Here is a 23,150-nt window from a genome sequence, read left to right as displayed (position 1 = left end):
CCACTGCACTCCAGCCTGAGTGATAAAGCGAGACTCCATCTCAGAAAAAAAAAAAAAAAAAAGAAAAGAAAAGAAGACTTGATTGCTTCTCGTACCCAATAATTTTATCAAGGTGAGAGCTAAAAGATCTGACTGAATATACATGCCTAAATCACACTCATCTATATTTTTAAAAGCAAAAAGCCATCTCAAACTTAAAGTAGTCCTATTCTAGAGTAAATACACATTCCCTTACATAGGATATAATGAATATGTATTTGTATGTACTTTGAAAGAAACAAAAAGAGAAAAAGCAATAGAAAGAATAAAGTAAAACAAGTGCTACAGTCTCCGATAACAATCTCTCATTAAACACATGATTTTCATTCTCTCAAATGTCTGCGACCACTATGTGCATGGACAAGTGTAGTAGAGAAAACTGCATTAAGAGCTCAGACCGAAGGTCAATGAGGACAAGAAATTATTTGTGTGTGTGGGGGGTTTACTGACAGATCTCAATGTGATGTTTTCTGAATTAAGAAGATAAATTCTAAGAACATTCTAGCTATTATAATATAAAAATTCACCCTTCTATGAGAAAGGTAAGTATATATAAATACATAAACTATACATGATGACATTCAAACCATTTGCAGTTTGGCTCCAACCTAAATTTTCCAGCCTGATGGTCCAGTGATTTGGAAATTTCTCATATTCCCCCAATACATGCTGCCTTTCCCAGTGTCTTTTTACTCCTTTTCAATTAAAACGGCAGTCTCTTAAATCCCTTTTGCCCTTGCTGGTTCAGCTCAGTTCAGCACACATTTATTAAATGCCTTCTATGTGACACGGCTCACAAGGAACACTGAGAAAACTAGGATGGGTACTCAATCTTGAAATGCTATCCTGAGAAAGCTCCCTAAGCAACAGGAACAGGGTGATATGATGAAGGCTTGTGGTAGGAGGAGCCTGGTGAGCTCTAAGAGTCCTTGAGGCAATAAGAAGGTTAAGGCCTGGTGACTCTTGAAACTCTGGGGAGAATTGGGTATTTCAGAATGCTGTGCTGGGTTAAAGCTGGAGGCCTAATGGATCCTTGGGCCCTTCAAAGCAGTATATACTCAGCAGTGATTTACTTACCAACCGTTTAACCATTATTATAAATAATGTACCATTAATTTATAAATAATATGTGTTTAAATATTCAAATATTAAGAGAATGAGAAAATAAGACACAGAATGGGAGAAAATACTTGCAAAAGATACATTTGATAAAGGACTGTTATCCAAAATAATACAAAAGATACTTAAAATTCAACACTAAGAAAATAAATGATCTGATTAAAAAATGGGCCTTATGATACACTGCATGTATTAAAACATCACTATGTACCCCATAAATATGTACAATTATGTTGTATCAATTAAAAATTGAAAATATTATAAAAAACAAAAATAAAACAAGATAAAAGGAAGAAAATGCACCAGAGACCTTAACAGACACCTCACCAAGGAATATATACAGATGGCACATAAGCATACAAAAAGATGCTCCACATCATACGTAATCAGGAAATGCATATGAGAACAATGAGATACCACTACACACTTACCACAATGGACAAAATCCAGAACACACACTACCAGATGATGGCAAGAATGCTGAGCAACAGGAATTCTCATTCACCGCTGGTGGGAACGCAAAATGGTACAGCACTTTGGAAGACAGTTTGGCAGTTCTGTACACAACTAAACATACTCTTAAGATCTGGCCATCGCACTCCTTAGTATTTACTCAAAACATAGAAATTATTTGAAAAACATGGGCAACACTTTATAGAAATAAATCGAAGAGAAAATATCAGTGACAATAGGACTAGACTATATTTCAGAGCTATTCTTTAGATTTGTAAGCAGTAAATCAAAGACTGGATAAACACAGCACACAAAAAGTCCAAGGATATCACTATGGTGTGGATATGGTTTGTCTGTCCCCACGAAAACTCATGTTGAAATTTGATTCCCAGTATGATGGTGTTGGGAGGTGGGGCCTGATGGGAGGTGTTCAGGTCACAGGGGCATGAATCCTTCAGGAATGGCTTGGTGCTGATCTTGTGGTAGTGAGTGAGTTCCCACTCTGACAAGACTGCATTAGGTATTGCAGGGAACAGATTAGTTCCCAGGAGAGTGGGTTGTGATAAAGCCAGGATGGACCCTCAGGTTCTCCTGTTTGCATGTGTCCCCTTCCCCTTTGACCTTCTCTGCTGTTTTGTGACGCAGCATGAAAGCCCTTGCCAGAAGCCAGGGCCATGCCCTTGAACTTCTTAGCCCACAGAACCATGAGCTAAATAAACCTTGTTACATTATAAATTATCCAGGCGCAGATATTCTTTTATAACAACACACAACAGACTAAGACAGATACACTCTAAGGAGGATGAACTTAATTAGCTCTAGAACTGTAAGTCCCTATAAAACAGGAAGAAATCTTGTACACGACATGAGCTCCTGCTGGCTCTGTCCTACCTGACTTCACGGATTTATGGCAGTTTCCCAGTTAAAGGCCCATCCCATAGACCATGTGTGGCTTACATATTTGCCATTCCTACTGTGGTATGGCATAAATAAATCATGAGGCTTGGGTCAGTACAGCCAGCCTGTAAAGTGATTCATGGAGCCAGAAGTACCATCCCCTAGGACTGTGTACTTTATTACAGTAAACCTCAGAACAAGATACAATTTCCTGACTTAAGAAGCAGGCTTTAAATCAGGACACCTGGACAGCCTTGGAACAACTTAAAAAATACAATAGGTCTCAACCCACCACTGTGTCTCAGTGCTGGCCTCCGCCTGCCCCAGGCCTGTTCTTTTAACACTAGATACTAAATTCAGAATGAGTCCCTTCTGAGTCAATTACTGTGGTGAGAACAACAGAATAAACTGAACGCATCCCATCCTCTTATCTCCATTGTTTTCTGTTTTTCCCTGACTTCACTTACCCACTGAGGAAAATAACATCCCCCATGATGAATTTTTCCCTCATCCTTTAAAACTCATAAACCAGGAGGAGCCCCTTTTGGTGCCAAAAGAAGAAAGCACAACACTGTGAACCTGGTTTCCCTCCTCAATAAGGAACAGTAGAGTGGACCTGGAGACAAAGTTGTCAGAGCATTCTCTGCTTAGAGACCTAGGCTGCAGTCAGTGCTATTTTATGTAAATTACATGTACTTTAAACCAACACTGGCAAGAGTGCCATACTCTTGTTTAGGAAAGCTGGAAGTCTAACCAGTTGTAAAGGTTATGTGTTTGATGAACTCCTAAAAGTTTTTTAAGGTCTAAGTATAATCAAGCTATCCTTTTATGTTCTCAACTCTTTGAATAAAATGCTGGAAGCACCTAAAACGGCCAACACATTCCAAGGTATCAAAAATAACTTTTTTTTTTTTTTTTTTTTAGACGGTCTCACTCTGTCGTCCAGGTTGGAGTGCAGTGGCATGATCTCGGCTCACTGCAACCTCTGCCTCCCGGGTTCAAGCGATTCACCTGCCTCAGCCTCCCGAGTAGCTGGGACTACAGACGTATGGCACTATGCCTGGCTAATTTTTGTATTTTTTAGTAGAGAGGGTTTCACCATATTGGACAGGCTGGTGGTCTTGGACTCCTGATCTCATGATCTGCCCGCCTCGGCCTCCCAAAGTGCTGGGATTACAGGCGTGAGCCACTGTGCCCGGCCAAAAAGAACTCTTTTTAAGCCAAGATCTCGAACACTTTTTAGCTAGGACAAAAAGCTATTAATCCTAATCAATCTCACTTTACGGATTTACTGAAGCCTTGAAGCCAAAGGTCAGTCACATACTAACACTGTTTTATGCTTCTTCTTGTAGAAACCCTGGAGAAAAACAAGTGTTGGGACTCTGTTATAAACACGGAACTGACTCCAGTGTCGTCGTTTTCTTGGGGACAACTTAGGAAAATTTCTTTTCAATAGACGTCTACTTGTTGAATATGTTTTGAGGACATGTAGCCAACAACAGACACAAAAAAGACACAGTGCATTACTACATTCCTTTACAATAAGAACACGGGACAGGAGAAAATATGAAGTCTAGCTCAGCCTCTTCACACCTCCCCAAGTCATCAAAATGATTGGACTGTATAAGCACATGAGGTGTGCAGAAATACGAGCATGGCAATGGGAAGAAAAAGTATATTGCAAAAATCAAATCAGAAATATTTCAAGGCTTGAAGCTTTCCAGTGAATCATAAAACAGAGGAAGGAAATGAATATAGGAATGCTCAGCACTTACCAAAAAACCTACATTCCGGTGACCCGTGTATTTTAAGAGACACAGGTCTTTGTAAGTCCTGAGTAGGAAATCTTGTTGCATTATATTGTGAGACATTATACTTTTTTTTTTTTTTAGATGGAGTCTTCACTCTGTTGCCTGGGCTGGAGTGCAGTGGCACAATCTCGGCTCGCTGCAAGCTCTGCCTCCGAGGTTCAAGCAAATCTCCTGCCTCAGCCTCCCGAGTAATTGGGACTATGGGCGCCTGCCACCACGCCCAGCTAATTTTTGTATTTTTGGTAGAGACGGGGTTTCACCATGTTGGTTTTGGCCAGGATGGTCTCGAACTCCTGACCTCAAGTGATCTGCCCGCCTCGGCCTCCCAAAGTGCTGAGATGACAGGCGTGAGCCACTGCGCCTGGCTGGACATTATACATTTTTTCCCCTTAAGCTGATTCTTCATCATTGGCCATACAGGCAGTGTATGGTTCACTAAGTTTCCTAAAAAGAATTCAGTAACAAAAGTTCTTTAATGAATAAATATAAACACTTTTGGAAACAAGAGTAGCAGACATACTCTTTCTTAAAGACGTCTGGTTCACTTCTTATACCCGTATTTTGCTAGGAAAGAAATCGAAACCAGGAAGAGGCACTGGTAGATCATTTACACTGGTCACATAGTGGTTCCTTATTAGCAAATGCTACCAACCTTTGTAGCATGCCAGACAATGTAAATAAACACTGCAGACAACACATTGTAAAATGTACCACACTCTAGAGAATCAACTAAGTGGAGAGACATACAAGAAACCTGTGTTCATTTTCAATTATAATTTTTTTTTTCTTGAGACCGAGTCTAACTCTGTTGACCAGATTGGAGTGCAGTGGCGCCATCTCTGCTCACTGCAACCTCTGCCTCCCGGCTTCAAGCAATTCTCATGCTTCAGCCTCCTGAGTAGCTGGGACTATAGGCATGCGCCACCACCCCTGGCTAATTTTTGTATTTTTAGTAGAGACGGGGTTGCACCATGTTGGCCAGGCTGGTCTTAAACTCCTGACCTCAGGTGATCTGCCCGTCTCGGTCTCCCAAGTGCTGGGATTACAGGCTTGAGCAACTGTGCCCAGCCTTGTGTTCATTTTTGTAAGCCTTGAATTCTTAACCTGGGAGCAAAAAGGACAATTTATGTGGCTAGCATGAAAAGTGGTATCAATCACAAAATTTATACTGTATTTTCTTGGAAATACATCTTAAGAACCTTCAAAATAGACAATCCTGAGTTCTACAGATTTTCTCTATATAGAAATTACTACATCTTGAAAATTGCTGAGTATAGATTTTAAGTGTTATCACCATGAAAAATGACAAGCATGTGAGATAATGATATGTTAATTAGCTTGATTTAACAATTCCACAAAATATACATATTTCAAAACATCATGTTGTACATGATGGACATACACAATTTTTATTTGTCAGTTTAAAAAAACTAATTGTTTTAAAAATAAATTGCTGTACCATATTATCTCTACTTCCCTTTTCAGTTGATCTTAGCCAAATGGCCAAGAAGCGATCAACTTCCCTTTTCAAAGTAGTTAATTTTGATTAGGATGCATTTTACACTGACTAATAAGCATACCGTGAAACAGTAAAATACCTAAAATGTACGCTAGTATTTCAATGATGCATTTCAACGAAGGTCCATGTGAAAATTGCCAGGAGTGACTCTCGACAAAGATAAATAATCGTGTTTGTCTCAATTTTATTACCTTGTCACAATTCTAAATACCTTCTCTGGACTACAACATACCATCCTCAAAGGATCAAAACAAACAAAACCCAAAAAACCTGAAAACCATCATCTCTCTCTTTTTTTTTTTTTGAGACGGAGTCTCGCTCTGTCGCCCAGGCCGGACTGCGGACTGCAGTGGCGCAATCTCGGCTCACTGCAAGCTCCGCTTCCCGGGTTCACACCATTCTCCTGCCTCAGCCTCCCCAGTAGCTGGGACTACAGGCGCCCGCCACCGCGCCCGGCTAATTTTTTGTATTTTTAGTAGAGACGGGGTTTCACCTTGTTAGCCAGGATGGTCTCGATCTCCTGACCTCATGATCCACCCGCCTCGGCCTCCCAAAGTGCTGGGATTACAGGCGTGAGCCACCGCGCCCGGCCGAAAACCATCATCTCTTAAATAAACAAATGTCACAACACGCTGTTTCCTATACACTGGAATACCTGACTGATAGAGTCTATTTTTTCTATTAGGGTCAATCAGTTGTTCTCCTAGAAATGAAAGGTTTGTCAGTATTTTTGTGTTGGGCTGCAGGTAATAAAATCAACAAAAATTTTGGTGAAAAATAGTGTTGCTCTTTACCCTATTCTAAGCCCAGAAGCAATTCAGAAGTGAGGTGATAAAACTGTGAGAATTCCCAGTAATATCCCCAAATGTGGAGAAAAACAGATGGAAAAGGGTGGACTGGTGGTTTAAGAGATGAGTCAGGACAAAACATTTAACTATGGCAACCTCATAAAGGCAAGAAAAATTACTAGGATATGCTGTTTTCTAGCAATCTCTAAAGAATTTCACAGACGATCTGAACCTTCTCATGCTTACCAGGATGAATACAGGATATTTATCAAAATTTCAGGAAAAACAAACAAACAAACAAACAACAAAAACTTGAGTCCAGGCCTTCCACAAAGACAGTGGAGATCCAGCTGAGAATAGTCCTAGCTCCTCACATTTCCCAGGTTATAGAAAAGCAGGCTGAAGTCAATTCCTGGCCCTTCTGTTCTAACTCAGAGGGGCAACATCAGATGCAGTGATGGCAGGAAGAGAGCATCCGGGAACATTCATCCACTCTGCATTAGAAGAACACACCTAAGAATTTCGTAACTAGCTAAGTAATACTTCAAGTAGAATGGCAAATAAACACTATCAAGCATGCAAACATAAAACAAGAAAACCAGAATTCAGCATCAGTCTTTCCTGAAATAGTCAAGTGAAGATAAAATTAAATAAGCAAAACGATACAGCAAAAAATTCAGGGATAGGGAAAATGTGGCAAAAGGTGTTAAGTGCTGAATTTAACTCCCAGACTAAGTAGCCTGGGAGTTATAAAATAAGATGTAAATATTATAAACCTTGGTAAAGCTGATATAAAACTATATCATTAAAAACTGGTGAGAAGAAGTGATAATTTCTTCATCTTTTAGAGCATGGCATGAATTAATACTGATTAAAATAAAAATAAAAGATGCTGTTGTAAAACATAACCCCAATCTCTATCTCTTTTCTTAAACTTGGAAGGATGGCTTAGGAATTCTCCTTTATAGTAAAGAAATATTCTGGCCAGGCGTGGTGGCTCACGCCTGTAATCCCAGCACTTTGGGAGGCCGAGGCGGGCAGATCACGAGATCAGGAGATTGAGACCATCCTGGCTAACACGGTGAAATCCCATTTCTACTAAAAAATAGAACAAAAATTAGCCGGGTGTGGTGGTGGGCACCTGTAGTCCCAGCTACTCGGGAGGCTGAGGCAGGAGAATGGCGTGAACCCAGGAGGTGGAGCTTGCAGTGAGCCCAGATCACGCCACTGCACTCCAGCCTGGGCGACAGAGTGAGACTCCGTCTCAAAAAAAAAAAGAAGAAATATTCTACTGAAATTCTCTTTATTCTGCTAATGTCAAGTAAAATTAAATTCAATTTTTATTTAAAATGGCATGTTATATGTTAATTTTTTTCTATATGTGCATAGGAATATGACAGGAATCCTGCTTACCTACTACAAATAATGATTATTTTCTAGGCAATTGACTTGGGGGCTGTTTTTTTCTTTATTCTTTCTACTTTGTACTACTGCTTAAATTTATAAAAGAATAACAAATAAGTAAATCATATAAGTGACTGAAGGAGCACTAAAATACACAAGAAAAAGCATGTGTTCTGGAGCTGGACAGTGCCGCTTACTAGTTGTATGACCCTAGACAAGCAGCTTCCTGAACTTCCTTGATTTTAACTGTCAAATGGAAATATAAATGTGTAAACTTAACGGAGTTGTTATTAAGATTGAGATAGTGTAAAATAATAATTATACCTCTCTTACAGACAGGAATCTGGCACATGGCAGGCCCTTAACAAATGTTAGTTTTCCTAGAGAGCTCAGGTTCCAACAACAGAAAGAGAAAGAAAAAGTGGAATTACCACTCTGGGTTTTAGATTTCTTTTTAACTGTATCTTTTAACCTTTAGTCAAGAGTTAAATGAATACTTATTTTAGTTCCCAAGATTTGTGTGGCTGAGGATTGTCAGCTTTGTTAAAACACAGTGATCAAAAGGCACCGTCAGGGTTTCAGGGTTTCACAGCACAAGCCTTCATGTGGTTCCAGTCTCTCCTTTCCTCCTTCAGAGATCAACAGCTTCTTCACTCAATGCAAAGAGAACACTGTGTTAAAACCCCTCTTTCCCCCCTTTCTCCCACTGAGATGCTGACGGAATCTACTGCATACTCAAAGTACAGCTCATGATTAGCGAAGAAAAGCCACCGCCACAGAACCAGGCCAGGTATCTTTTAAAAATAAGTAAATAAATGACAGACCCCACCCCAACCCTGACTCCCCTCTTTGAGTCCCATAAAAGTATTGTTGTATAATCAGATGTTTTATTTATAAACAAAGATGAAAATGTTTTTACAGGCTGGGCGCGGTGGCTCACGCCTGTAATCCCAGCACTTTGGGAGGCCGAAGTGGGGGGATCACGAGGTCAGGAGATCGAGACCATCCTGGCTAACACGGTGAAACCCCGTCTCTACTAAAAATACAAAAAATTAGCCGGGTGCAGTGGTGGGTGCCTGTAGTCCCAGCTACACGGGACACTGAGGCAGGAGAATGGTGTGAACCTGAAAGGCGGAGCTTACAGTGAGCGGAGATCGCGCCACTGCACTCCAGCCTGGGTGACAGAGCAAGACTGTCTTAAAAAAAAAAAATGTTTTTACATATGAAATCTACAATTTAAACGATAAGCTTCAGAATATACCTTATTTCAGCATACTGGCAGGTAGTTTAGAAGCTTTAAAGGAAAGTCCTGCAGTCACTGGCATTATATGATGTGTTTAATCTTTCCTAGTAATATGAAGAATGAAAAAGCATCTAAGACTTGGGTGAGAAGTGAGACAGCGTAAGTGGCACAGATGTTCCGAAAGGATAGTTAAGTGAACGACTGATGAAAACACCGAGCCACTAACCACCACAGAACTCTCTAAAAATAACTCAATATCAATACTAAGATAACTAAACTCAAGTTACAAGAGAATCTGCTTCAGGGAAGAACAGACATACAGTTTTTGTACTAGATACGATATTCCTGGTGCAGCTCATAGGAATCTTTTGAATTAAAAGCAGCATGATGACTGTATGGGATAGTTTCATGCCAAAATAATCAGCGGAGCACTGGAACTGAAATATAAAGACTAACACCAAAGCTGCTAGAATTTGAATGACCCATGAACTAATTTAGCATTAGTGACACAGATAAAAGGGGGGAAAATACTAGTTGGGACGAATGGCACTCCCTTTTGAAGGATGAAGTCTATAATGGAAAAGAAATGGTCATTTGCTTATGATGCCTGTTTGCACAGGGCTCTGCTGGCCTCATGTTGCCTACATGAGAGATCCCCAGTAGAGCTGTAAAGCCTGCTTTAAGTCCAGGTGCTCTAACTCCTGTCTGTCAAAACAGGACTGTTTTCTTAATAAACATTTCAAAGCTCTCTAATGCCCGGACTGATTAGTTTAGGGGCTGGAAGGAGTTGTGAGGACCGCATGAGTGACAGGCAAAAAAGGCAGATAACATAGATACTGGTATTTATTTCATTAAGTGTGTTTAATAAATTTTGAGAGTGTTACTGTCTGCATTCATGTAATGGATTACAGGGTCAGCACGATCTTCCTGAAATATGGATTGGATCACATCACTTCCTTGCTATAGAATAGCAATTTAAATTAGTGGCATGGCATAGAAAGCCCTTCTAGCCTTTTCCTCAAAATTCTCCTCAAACATTCTTTGCTCTAGCAATACTAAATTTCTTATAGTTCCTCAAATACACATTAATATTAATATTTCATACCTCTGTGACTTTTCATCTGCTATTTTATCAACTAAGAATACGCGCAACGCTCTCTTCTCTGATTTATCCTTTAAGAGCTAGCTAAAAGACTAGGAGGGTCTGTACAATACCAGGCAGACATGGGATGATGTCCTCTCAGATTGAGTCTAGGTTCTACACTTAAATTCAGCACTTAGCACCTTTTGCCATGGTTTCTCTATCCCTGCATTTTTTGCTTTATCTTTTTTTTGTTTTTTTTTTTTTTGAGACAGAGTTTCGCTCTTTGTCGCCCAGGCTGGAGTGCGATGGCGCAATCTTGGCTCACTGCAACCTCTGCCTCCCAGGTTCAAGCGATTCTCCTGCCTCAGTTTCCCAAGTAGCTGGGATTACAGGCGTGTGCCACCATGCCCAGCTAATTTTTGTATTTTTTTAGTAGAGACGGGGTTTCACCATATTGGCCAGGCTGGTCTCAAACTCCTGACCTCAGGTGATCCACCAGCCTCGGCCTCCCAAAGTGCTGGGATTACAGGCGTGAGCCACCGCACCCGGCCCGCATTAACTTTTTGCTTACTGAATTTTATCTTTACTTGACTTTTTCAGGAAAAACTCTCTCTACAAGCTCCCACTGAAAGCTGTTCATACTTCCTTTATATTATTATAGTATATTATTAATATAATCTCCTGTTTTGTGTATTTCTCCATAGATTTGGACAGGTAAAAACCATCCCCTTTCATCTATGAATTCCCAGAAGAGAGTAGAAACTGTTTACCATTCAGTGAAATACAAAAAGAAATTCTTATTTTTCTTAAGTTCAAACGAAGTTTTGAATATCCATTCAAAGTGATTCAGCAAGAAACTGTCAACAGAATTTATGAAAAATATTCCAGGCTGATCCCAAAGCTTCAAGTTTCTTTTTTTAAAAATTATACTTTAAGTTCTAGGGTATGTGTACACAACAGGCAGGTTTCATACACAGGTATACATGTGCCATGTTGGTTTGCTGCACCCATCAACTCTTCATTTACATTAGTTATTTCTCCTAATGCTATCCCTCCCCCAACCCCCCACCCCATGACAGGCCCCAGTGTGTGATATTCCCCTCCCTGTGTCCATGTGTTCTCATTGTTCAATTCCCACCTATGAGTGAGAACATGCAGTGTTCGGTTTTCTGTCCTTGTGATAATTTGCTGAGAATGATGGTTCCAGCTTCATCCATGTGCCTGCAAAGGACATGAACTCATCCTTTTTTATGGCTGCATAGTATTCCATGATGTATATGTGCCACATTTTCTTAATCCAGTCTATCGTTGATGGACATTTGGGTTGGTTCCAAGTCTTTGCTATCGTGAATAGTGCCGAAATAAACATATGTGTGCATGTCTTTATAGTAGCATGATTTATAATCCTCAGGAGATCGAGACCATCTTGGTGAACATGGCGAAACCCTGTCTCTATTGAAAATACAAAACAGATTAGCCGGGCTTGGTGGCGTGCGCCTGTAGTCCCAGCTACTCAGGAGGCTGAGGCAGGAGAACTGCTTGAACCCAGGAGTCGGAGGCTGCAGTGAGCCGAGATTGCGCCACTGCACTCCAGCCTGGGCGACAGAGTAAGACTCTGCCTCAAAAAAAAAAAAAAAAAAAAAAAAAAAAAAAAAAAAAAAAAAGAAAAAGAAAAGAATAAGTGGACATTCAAGGAAAAATAGAAATGTTAATATTCTATGTTTTAAACCAATCTGTATTTATTCCTTTGGAAGAAGGTAGAATATACTGGCAATGTACCCCTTAGAATGAAAATAACAAGAACTGGAAAACACATCCTTAAAAGAGAGTACTAGGCTGGACACAGTGGCTCATGCCTGTAATCTCAGCACTTTGGGAGGCCAAGGGAGGAGGACTGCTTGAGCCCAGGAATTGGAAACGAGCCTCGGCAATATGGAGAGACTCTGTCTCTATATTAAAAAAGAGGGGAAGGGCACTAAAGCCTACTAAAAGCAGCCAGGTGGAACAGCTGCCAGCGAGAAACCGAGCTGACTGGCACAACAGACCTTCAGAGGGAAGGCAGTGAGAGTGGATGGAGGGAACACACAGAAGCAGGCTGAAAGGGGAGGATGCTGGGAACGCTGCACCGGGCTACTGCACACAGGGACTCGTTCCTAGCCCCCAACGACCCTGAGGGAATGAGCGAGTTGTACTCACGAAGAGTAATCTGTTCTTGCTACGGGCCTCTGGAATTCCAGCAGAAGATGACCCCTCATCTACCACAGACACCGATTTGGCAGGGAGAGCTGCTTAGAGAAGCAAGGGCAGCGCGTCAGCTGAGGTGGAACCCAGAGGGTTTGGTGTGGTAGAGTCTGTAGTGGAGCATGGCTAGGGAAGCCCATCTCCCTAGGCTTGACTTGCTCCCATAGGAGACTTTAGCCCCAGGGGAACAACTGGACCTAACCTCTGCAAGACCTGAACTCTGGAGGTCTTGCCCATCAGATGGGGCTGGTCCAACCTGAGCACCTCTTGGTCTGCTGGACTCTCTAGGGACCACAGCCTAGCTGTGCCTGCTTGCAGGATAGCCTTGGGTACCCCGGAGGCTGTCATTATAGCTCCTGTGCTGGGGAACTATGCCTGACTGGCAGAGAACTCAAGCAGGCTGGCCCCCACGGTCACACGCTGGCCACGCACCAGGCCTGCCTGCTTTCTCCACACATTACAGCTTCCCCCAGGCCTACAGCAAGCCTCCACATCTCTTTGCCAGCACATGTGTACGTGGACAGATTTTGCTTTCCTTGCCCTGCCAGTGTGCATGTGTGTGTGCACCCTACCACCTGTTCCCCTTCTGCTGGACCGTCACTGCAGTTGGAGCCTTGGTGAGCACAGAACCAGCCAGCCCTGCCCTTGTGCCAACACTGCCACAGGAGTGAAACCAGGCACAGAGGACAGCAGACCCTCCCCAACCCTGAGCAACCACCCCTGCCTGGGGCACACAGAGACCTGTCCCCACCAGTAACCCACATCCGTATTAACACAACCACCAGTGATATCACATGCACAGTCACCAGCAAGGGCTCTCTGGCCCCCCAGGCTGAGCTGCCTCTGCCACTGCAGTGAATGCCTACATGGGGGCAGGCACCCTGGCACCCCCTGGCACCTGCTAGCACCCTGTCACAGTTGTCCAGCTGAGCTGCCTCTGCCACTGCAGTGAATGCCTACATGGGGGCGGGCACCCGGGCACCTGCTAGCACCCTGTCACAGTTGTCCAGCTGAGCTGCCTCTGCCACTGCAGTGAATGCCTACATGGGGGCGGGCACCCTGGCACCTGCTAGCACCCCGTCACAGTTGTCCAGCTGAGCTGCCTCTGCCACTGCAGTGAATGCCTACATGGGGGCGGGCACCCTGGCACCTGCTAGCACCCTGTCACAGTCGTCCAGCTGAGCTGCCTCTGCCACTGCAGTGAATGCCTACATGGGGGCAGGCACCCTGGCACCTGCTAGCACCCTGTCACAGTCGTCCAGCTGAGCTGCCTCTGCCACTGCAGTGAATGCCTACATGGGGGCGGGCACCCTGGTACCTGCTAGCACCCTGTCACAGTCGTCCAGCTGAGCTGCCTCTGCCACTGCGGTGAATGCCTACATGGGGGCAGGCACCCTGGCACCTGCTAGCACCCTGTCACAGTTGTCCAGCGTGCACTCTGCTGCGCTGCTGCTGTTGCTGGCATGTGCAAATGAGGACGGATCCTGCTGCCGCCACACTATGAAGCACTTTGGCAGACACCACCCATTAGAGTGTAGTGACCAGTGATCGTGGAGCACTTCGGCCCCACCAGCACAGTGGACTCCTAACCTCAGAGGAGCCAGAGAACAAAGTCATTGCCCAATATAAGTCCCCCAAAGTTAGAGCACACAGTCTAGAAGATCAGAGCTGAGTGTTGGCCCCCTAAAGTCTTCCAGAAACAGTCAGTTGGCTGAATCCACCTTATACCACAATCAAACACTGAAGGTCATCAAATAGTGTAAAAGAAGAAGAAGAAAAAAAAAACTATCCAAAGGTCAGCAAGTTCAAAGATTGAACAAACATTACCCCAGAAAGATAAGAAAGAACCAATCCAAGAACTCTTGACAACTCAAAAAGCCAGAGTGCCTTCTTTCCTCAAAATGACTGCACCACCACTCCAGCAAGGGTTCTGAACCGGGTTGAGATGGCAGAAATGACAGAAACAGAAGGCAGAATATGGATAGGAATGCAGATCGTTGAGATGCAGGAGTATGCTGAAACAAAATCAAGGAAGCGAAGAATCACAGTACAACAATATAGGAGCTGACAGACAAAATAGCCAGCAAAGAAAAAACATGTAATCAACCTGACAGAGCTGAAAAACACACTATAAGAATTTCATAATGCAGTCACAAGTATTAACAGCAGAATAGACCAAGGTGAGGATAGTGTCTCAGAGCTTGAAGACTGACGTTTTGAAATAAGGAAGTCAGACAATAATAGAGAAAAGAGAGTATAAAGGAATAAACAAAACCTCCAAGAAATGTGGTATTATATAAAGAGACCAAATCTATGAATGACTGGTATCCCTGAAAGAGATGGGGAGAGCGTAAGCAACTGAAAACGTATTTCAGGATATCATCCATGAGAGCTTCCCAACCCTAGCTAGAGAGACTAATATGCAAATTCAAGAAATGCAGAGAACCCCAATGAGATCCTTCATGAGAAGAACATCCTCAAGACATAATCATAAGGTTCTTGAAAGTTAAGATGAAAGAAAAAAATGTTAAAGGCAGCTAGAGGGTAAGGTAAGGTCACCTACAAAGGCAAGTCCATCAGACTAACAGCGGACCTCTCAGCAGAAACCCTACAAGCCAGAAGAGATTGGGCACCAATAATCAACATTCTTAAAGAAATTCCAAGCCAGAATTTCATATCTGGACAAAATAACCTTCATAAGTGAGGGAAAAATCAGATCCTTTTCACACCAGCAAATGCTGAGGAAATTCATTACTATCAAACCTGCCTTACAAGAGCTCCTTAAGGAAGCACTAAATATGGAAAGGAAAGACCATTACCAGCCACTTCAAAAACGCATTTAAGTAAACACACTAGTGACACTATAAAGCAACCACACAAACAAGTCTGCATAATAACCAGCTAACATCATGATGACAGGTTCAGATCCACACATATCAGTACAAACCTTGAATGTAAATGGGCTAAATACCCCTATTAAAAGGCACCAAGCAACAAGCTAGATAAAGAACCAAGACCCACCAGTGTGCTATCTTCAAGAGGCCCATTTCGTATGCAATGACACCCACAGACTCAAAATAAATAAAGAAAAATCTACGAAGCAAACAGAAAAAAGCAGGATTACATCCTAATTTCAGAAAAAATAGACTTTAAACCAACAAAGATTAAAAAAAAAAAAGAAAAAGAAGAGCATTACTAAATAGTAAGGGGTTCAATGCAACAAGAAGAGCTAACTATCCTAAATATATATGCACCTGACACAGGAGCACCCGGATTCAGGAAGCAAGTTCTTAGAGACCTTCAGAGAGACTTAGACTCCCACACAATAACAGTGGGAGACTTCAATACCCCACTAACAGTATTAGATCAAAGATTAAGGCCAGGAGCAGTGGCTCATGCCTGTAATCCCAGCACTTTGGAAGGCTGAGGTGGGCAGATCACTTGAGGTTAGGAGTTTGAGATCAGCCTGGCCAACATGGCAAAACCCTGTTTCTACCAAAAATACAAAAACAAAACAAAACAGAACAAAATAGCCAGCATGCTCGTGCATGCCTGTAGTCCCAGCTACTGAGGAAGCTGAGGCAGGAGAATTGCTTGAACCCGTGAGGCGGAGGTTGCAGTGAGCCGAGACTGTATCACTGCACTCCAGCCTGGGCAATGGAGCAAGACTGTCTCAAAAAAAAAAAAAATTAATAAAGATATTCAGGACCTGAACTCAGCATAGGATCAAAGGGACTTGACAGGAATCTACAGAATTCTCCACCCAAAAGCAACAGAACATACATTCTCACCTTCGCATGGCACATACTCTAAAACTGACCACATAATTGGACAGAAAATACTCCTCAGTAAATGCAAAAGAACTGAAATAATAAACACTCTCTCAGACCGCAGCATGATCAAATTAGAAATCAAGACTAAGAATTTTGCTCGAAACCATACCATTATATGGAAATTGATCAACCTACTCCTGAATGACTTTTGCATAAATAATGAAACTAAGGCAGAAATCAAGAAGTTCTTTGAAACTAATGAGAACAAAGATACAACATACCAGAATCTCTGGGACACAGCTAAGACAATGTTAACAGGGACGTTCATATCATTAAATGTCCACATCAAAGAGTTAGAAAGATCTCAATATAACAACTTTACATCACAACTAAAAGAACTAGAGAACCGAGAGCAAACCAACCTCAAAGCCAGCAGAAGACAAGAAATAAAAATTAGAGGTGAACTGAGGGACACTGAGACATGAAAACCCATATAAAGGATCAATGAGTCCAGGAGTTTATTTTTTAAAAAAAAATTAATAAAATAAACTGCTAAATAGGCTAGTAAGAGAGAAAATCCAAACAAACACGATTAGAAATAACAAAAAGGATATTATTACCGAACCCACAGAAATACAAACAACCACTAGAGAATATATGAACAACTTTATGCATGTAAACTAGGAAATCTAGAAGAAAGGGATAAATTCCTGGACACATACACCCTCCCAAGACTGAACCAGGAAGAAACTGAATCCCTGAACAGGCCCATAATGAACTCTGAAATTGAGGAAGCCACAAATAGCCAACCAACCAACCAACCAACCAACCAACCAAATAAATAAACAGTAAATAAATAAGCCCAGTACCAGATAGAGTCACAGCTAAATTCTACCAGATGTACAAAGAAGGGCTGGTACCATTACCCCTGAAACTATTTCAAATAAATTGAGGAGGAGGGACTCCTCCCCAACTAATTCTACGAGGTCGGCATCATCCTGATATCAAAACCTGGCAGAGATAAAACAAAAAAAGAAAACTTCAGACCAATATCCTTGAGGAACGTCAATGCAAAATCCTCAACAAAATCCTGACAAACTGAATCCAGAAGCACATGAAAAGGCTTATCCACCAAGATCAAGTAGGCTTTGTCTCTACGATGCAAGGTTGGTTCAACATGCAAAAATCAATGTGATTCAGCACATAAACAGAACTAAAGACAAAAACTACAGGATTATCACAACAGATGCAGAAAGGGCTTTCGATAAAATTCAACATTGCTTCATGTTAAAAACTCTCAATAAACTACGTATTGAAGGAACATACCTCAAAATAATAAGAGCCACCTATGACAAATCCACAGCCAATATCATACTGAATAAACAAAAGCTGGAGGCATTCCCCTTGAAAAACTGGTGTAAGACAAGGATGCCCTCTCTCACCACTCCTATTCAACATAGTATTGAAGGTCCTGGACAGGGCAATCAGGCAAAAGAAAGAAATAAAGGGTATCCAAATGGGAAGAGAGGAAATTAAACTATCCCTGTTTGCAGATGACACAATCCTGTATCTAGAAAACCCCATCGTCTTGGTCCAAAATCTTCGTAAGGTGATAAAAAAACTTCAGCAAACTTTCAGGATACGAAATCAATATACAGATATCACTAGCATTCCTCTACACCAACAGTCAAGCCAAGAGCCAAATCAGGAATGTAATTCCATTTACACGTGCCTGAAAAAGTATAAAATACCTACGAATACAGCTAACCAAGCAGGTGAAAGATCTCTACAAGAAGAACTACAAAACACTGCTCAAAGAAATCAGAAATGACACAAACAAATGGAAAAACATTCCATGCTCATGGATAGGAAGAATCAATATCGTTTAATGGCCACACTGAACAAAGCAATTTATAGATTTAATGCTGTTCCTATCAAACTACCAATGACATTCTTCACAGAACTAGAAAACTATCTTAAAATTCATATGAAAACCAAAAAAGATCCCCAACAGCCAAGGCAATCCTACCCAAAAAGAATAAACCTGGAGGCATCACGCTACCTGACTTCAAACTATACTACAGGGCTACAGTAACCAAAACAGCCTGGTAACTGGTACAAAGACACATAGACCAATGGAACAGAAGAGAGAGCCCCAAAATAAGGTTGCACATCTAGAACTATCTGATCTTCAACAAACCTGACAAAAGCAAGCAATGAAGGAAAGGACTCCCTATTCACTAAATGATGCTGTGGTAACTGGCTAGCCATATGCAGAAGATTGAAACTGGATCCCTTCCTTACACCCTATACAAAAATTAATTCAAGATGGATTAAACACTTAAATGTAAAACCCAAAACTATAAAAAACCTGGAAGACAACCTAGTCAATACCAATCAGGACACAGGAATGGGCAAAGATTTTATAATGAGGATGCCAAAAGCAACTGCAACAAAAGCAAAAATTGATGAACAGGATCTATGTAAACTAGAGAGTTTCTGTACAGCAAAAGAAACTTTCAACAGTATACAACCTACAGAATGGGAGGAAATTTTTGCAAGGTATGCATGTGACAAAGGTCTAATATCCAGGATCCATAAAGAGCTTAAACAAGAAAAAAACAACCCCATTAAAAAGTGGGCAAAATACATAAACAGACGCTTTTCAAAAGAAGACATAACACGTGGCCAAGAAGCACATGAAAAAAGCTCAACATCAGGGATCATTAGAGAAAAAATTGAAACCACAATATTATCTCACACCAGTCAGAATGGCTATTATTAAAAAGTAAAAAAATAACAGATGCTGGCGAGGTTGTGGGAAAAGGAACCTGAACACTTATACATTGTTGGCGGGAGTGTAAATTAGTTCAACCATTGTGGAAGACAGCATGATGATTCCTCAAAGAACTAAAGACAGAAATACCATTTGACCCAGCAATCCCATTATTGTGTACATAATAAAAGGAATATAAATTGTTCTATTATAAAGACACATGCACGTGTATGTTCACTGCAGTGCTATTAACAATAGCAAAGATACAGAATCAACCTACATGCTCATCAATGATAGACTAAAGAAAATGTGGGGCCGGGTGCGGTGGCTCACGCCTGTAATCCCAGCACTTTGGGAGGCTGAGATGGGTGGATCATGAGGTCAGGAGATCGAGACCACCGTGGCCAACATGGTGAAACCCCGTCTCTACTAAAAATACAAAAATTAGCCAGGCATGGTGGCACGTGCCTGTAATCTGAGCTACTCGGGAGGCTGAGGCAGGAGAATCGCTTGAACCTGGGAGGCAGAGATTGCAGTGAGCCGACGTCGCGCCACTGCACTCCAGCCTGGCGACAGAGTGAGACTCCATCTCAAAAAAAAAAAAAAAAAAAAATGCGGTACATATACACCACGGAATACTATGCGGCCATAAATAAAGAATGAGATCATGTCCTTTGCAGGCACATGGATGGAGCTGGAGACCACTACCCTTAACAAACAACACAGGAACAGAAAACCAAATACCACATGTTCGCACTTGTAAGTGGTAGCTAAATGATGAGAACACGCGGACACATAGAGGGGAACAACAGCCACTGGCGCCTAATGGAGGAGGGGGGGTGAGAGGAGGACGAGGATCAGGACGAGGATCAGGACGAGGATCAGGACGAGGATCAGGACGAGGATCAGGACGAGGATCAGGACGAATTATAAAGTAACTAAAGGGTACCAGGCTTAATACCCGGGCGAGGAAATAATCTGTACAACAAACCTCCATGACCTAAGTTTACCTACATAACAAACCTGCACATGTACCCCTGTACTTAAAATAAAAGCTTTAAAACAAGTCTATTTTGAATAGCTGCAATGGTTTCCCCTCCTCACCTCCCTATGCTCTTACATAGGACATGCAGTTTATTATTTTCCCCACCTGTAACAAGTAAGCAGAGAAACCTGAAATGATCTTTTCTATGATACTAAATAAACTACTGAAATGATCCAGGACTGCTTATATCACAGTTGGTGCCCAGAATAAATCCTTTTTCTTCTTAAATTTGGGGGGTGCCTCCAACCTGACAGTGGATCCACACCATCCATCCTAAAGAGACGGCTACCAGTGGACAGGTTCTGCCGGTTATACAAAGCTGCTAGTCAGCTGTATCACCCAGAGCAGAGGCCTAGCAGGGAAGCAAACCTGCAAACACCACCAAAGGAATTTCAGTTTGGCCATGTGCCACAATCAATCTAGTTCTCCTTAAACATGAAGGGACAATGAAGAATTGACTAATACGTGAAAAACCTCTGAAATAAAAGAGAAGATACATGAGTTTAACAACTAAGGCTGTAGGAAACACAAATAATTCAGGAAGTAGAAGAACATTTTTTTAAAAGGTCTAATCAATTTCTTAAGAGAAATCCAAGAAGACGCTAAAGCTACAAAACAGATACAGCAGGCTATGAAAAAGAACATTCCAATTGTAAGAAAGTTAAAATGCTCTTTAGCAAAATAAAAAAATTCAAAAGTACTGTAAGATAAAGTCAAGGATATTTTGTTCCCCCAACCAAGAACTAAATGAAGAAAAGGAGATAAAAAATACAGAGTAAAAAATTTAAGAGAAATCTAAATCCAACAACTAGAAGTTTTAGAAGGTGAGAATAGTGAAAATGAAGGAAAGGAAATGACCAAAGAAGTAATACAAGAAGTTTTCTGAGCTTAAACAAAGGAAGAAAAAAAGAAGTCATAAATATATCCTGAAATCCAGGAGTCTTCAGATTCAAAGAAATACTTCTGGTTAAGATGGTTTGGTAAAGTCATGCTCTGAGATATAAAATACATAGCAATGACTATAAGGAGAGATCTAGAAAGCTACAGCTGGGCTCAAATACAACTTAAACGTATGTGTGGTGCATAAATGGAACAGAGCTGCAAAATACACCATGGCCTGCCAGGAATATGGATCCGAAAGCAGCCTCGGGGAGCTAGAACTCTCACTCCTCCTGGATGAGGGGGACTAACAACACTTTATAGAAGATACAGGCTCATCGCTTAACACCAGGAACTGCAATCGTGTACTCACCTCCTGTCCCAATGACTAATTATTTGTTAGGATCAGGGCATAACGAATCAAGCAGATGGATTCAAGAACAGAAACAGAACCAAGGTATCTACCGGCTCTGTGAGTGGGTCTCTGTGACAGCCCCACTATCTCCCTGGGTCAAGAACCACTACTTCACTGGAAATGCTCATGGTACCACTATCTGTAAGAGCCCCAAACTAAATGGGCTCTGTCTCCATCAACAGTGAATAAGTAAGTAGATGGATAACTGCTAGACAAATAAATATTGTATAGTCACCCAATATGATACCTTATGGGATAAGATTGAAAGAACTATTGGCTACATGTAAAAACATGAGTAAAACTCACAACACAGAGTGAAAGAACCCAGACACAAAAGAGTACTTATTTGATAACTCCATTTATATATAACACAAAACAGGTAAAATTAAAATATGCATTCAGAAGTCAGAATAGTGATTACTCAAGGGAGGTGTTACTCACTGGAGGGAAGCACAAAGAGGGCTTCTGGAGTATTGGGAATATTCTGTTTCTTGATTTGGGTGTCAGGTTACATAAATTTTTCAGACTGCAAAAATATAGTGAACTAAACTGACAGTACACATATTCTTTCAGAGGTATAGTATACACTCCAATAAAAAATTTAACAAATATGTGAGTAAAGTTACAGACAAAAACTAAATAAGCAGGGGACAGTACATTGAATGTAGCTGAAGACAGAATCAGTGAATTGAAAGACAGTACTAGCAATTTAGTCAAAACATGGAACATAAAGGATAAAAGACATAAAGAGATAAAAAAGAGAAGATAAATTAAGAGACATGTAAAAAAGACAAAGAGACTCTAAGTCTACTAGGAGTTGCAGAACAAAATATTAGAGAAAACAGTATTTGGGAGAATTGTTCATAATTTTCCAAAATAGAAGGACAAGATGAGTCTTCAACTTTAAGATATGGCTGCATGTCCTGTGTAAATGAATAAAAATAAAAATTCAACTGTCAGAAGTTAGGGAAGGGGAAGAGAGAAGAAGGGAGGGGAAGAAAAGTGGAAGGAAGAGTAGAGGTACTGATAACCTTATTTTACATGTCACTAGGCAGAGAGCCTGTGGGAAGATGATAAAGAGAAATTAAGAGTTTTAAGTGTATGATTTAAAGTTACAAAGGTAACGAAGAGGATTCATAAAATAATAATAATAATAATAATACAAAAACTGGGAGAAGGAGTGAGGGAAAACAGGCAGCAATTTAAGTAAGCTAAATACTGACTGTTGCAAGGAGTCAATAAAAAATAACATTATGAGTCTAAAGTTCTGAGTGATGATTGCTTCTCAGCCTTAGCTAAGAGCAAGTGCAAAGTTTTGAGTGAAGAAAGCTGAAAGGATCACTCACTCGAGGATGTGGAAAGGGGGACAGAAAAGGTAGATGTGTTGTTGCTTTTCCTTATAGGCCTTTCTGTGCTATCTGACTTTTCCCATTGTCGTGTATTATGTTGTTTATGCATTTCACAGAAGAAAATAAAATGTTGGTCCTGTAAAGGTGAACTTGTACTTCCTAGTTAAATAACAGATGATACTGGTTCTTAGCCATAAAACAAAGGATACTGCTTGAAACTTCAGGGTTGAATCCACTGCTGCTGGCTCTAGGGTTTAAATATTGCCATCTCAGCTTTTATAATTTACTTCCATTGGGAACTGTTAAACTATTCTC

At 41.2% G+C, this 23,150-nt stretch overlaps 1 protein-coding gene and 1 long non-coding RNA gene across 55 annotated transcripts in view; both read right to left on the bottom strand.

Moving 5' to 3' along the window:
• ERC1 (ELKS/RAB6-interacting/CAST family member 1) overlaps positions 1 to 23,150 on the bottom strand; it is a 505,975-nt gene that overhangs the window by 142,843 nt on the left and 339,982 nt on the right. The window lies entirely within an intron of this gene.
• Positions 13,108 to 15,739, bottom strand: LOC107987182 (uncharacterized). The gene is made up of 2 exons (XR_001749430.1): positions 13,581 to 15,739; positions 13,108 to 13,496 (listed from the first exon to the last, which is right to left on the bottom strand). It is a non-coding gene; the product is annotated as an uncharacterized LOC107987182 (long non-coding RNA).

Source organism: Homo sapiens, chromosome 12 (assembly GCF_000001405.40).
Source record: "Homo sapiens chromosome 12, GRCh38.p14 Primary Assembly".
Lineage (NCBI taxonomy): Eukaryota > Metazoa > Chordata > Mammalia > Primates > Hominidae > Homo > Homo sapiens.
The sequence above is the reverse complement of the archived record's forward strand: the minus strand, read 5'-3'. Positions and strand labels throughout refer to the sequence as shown.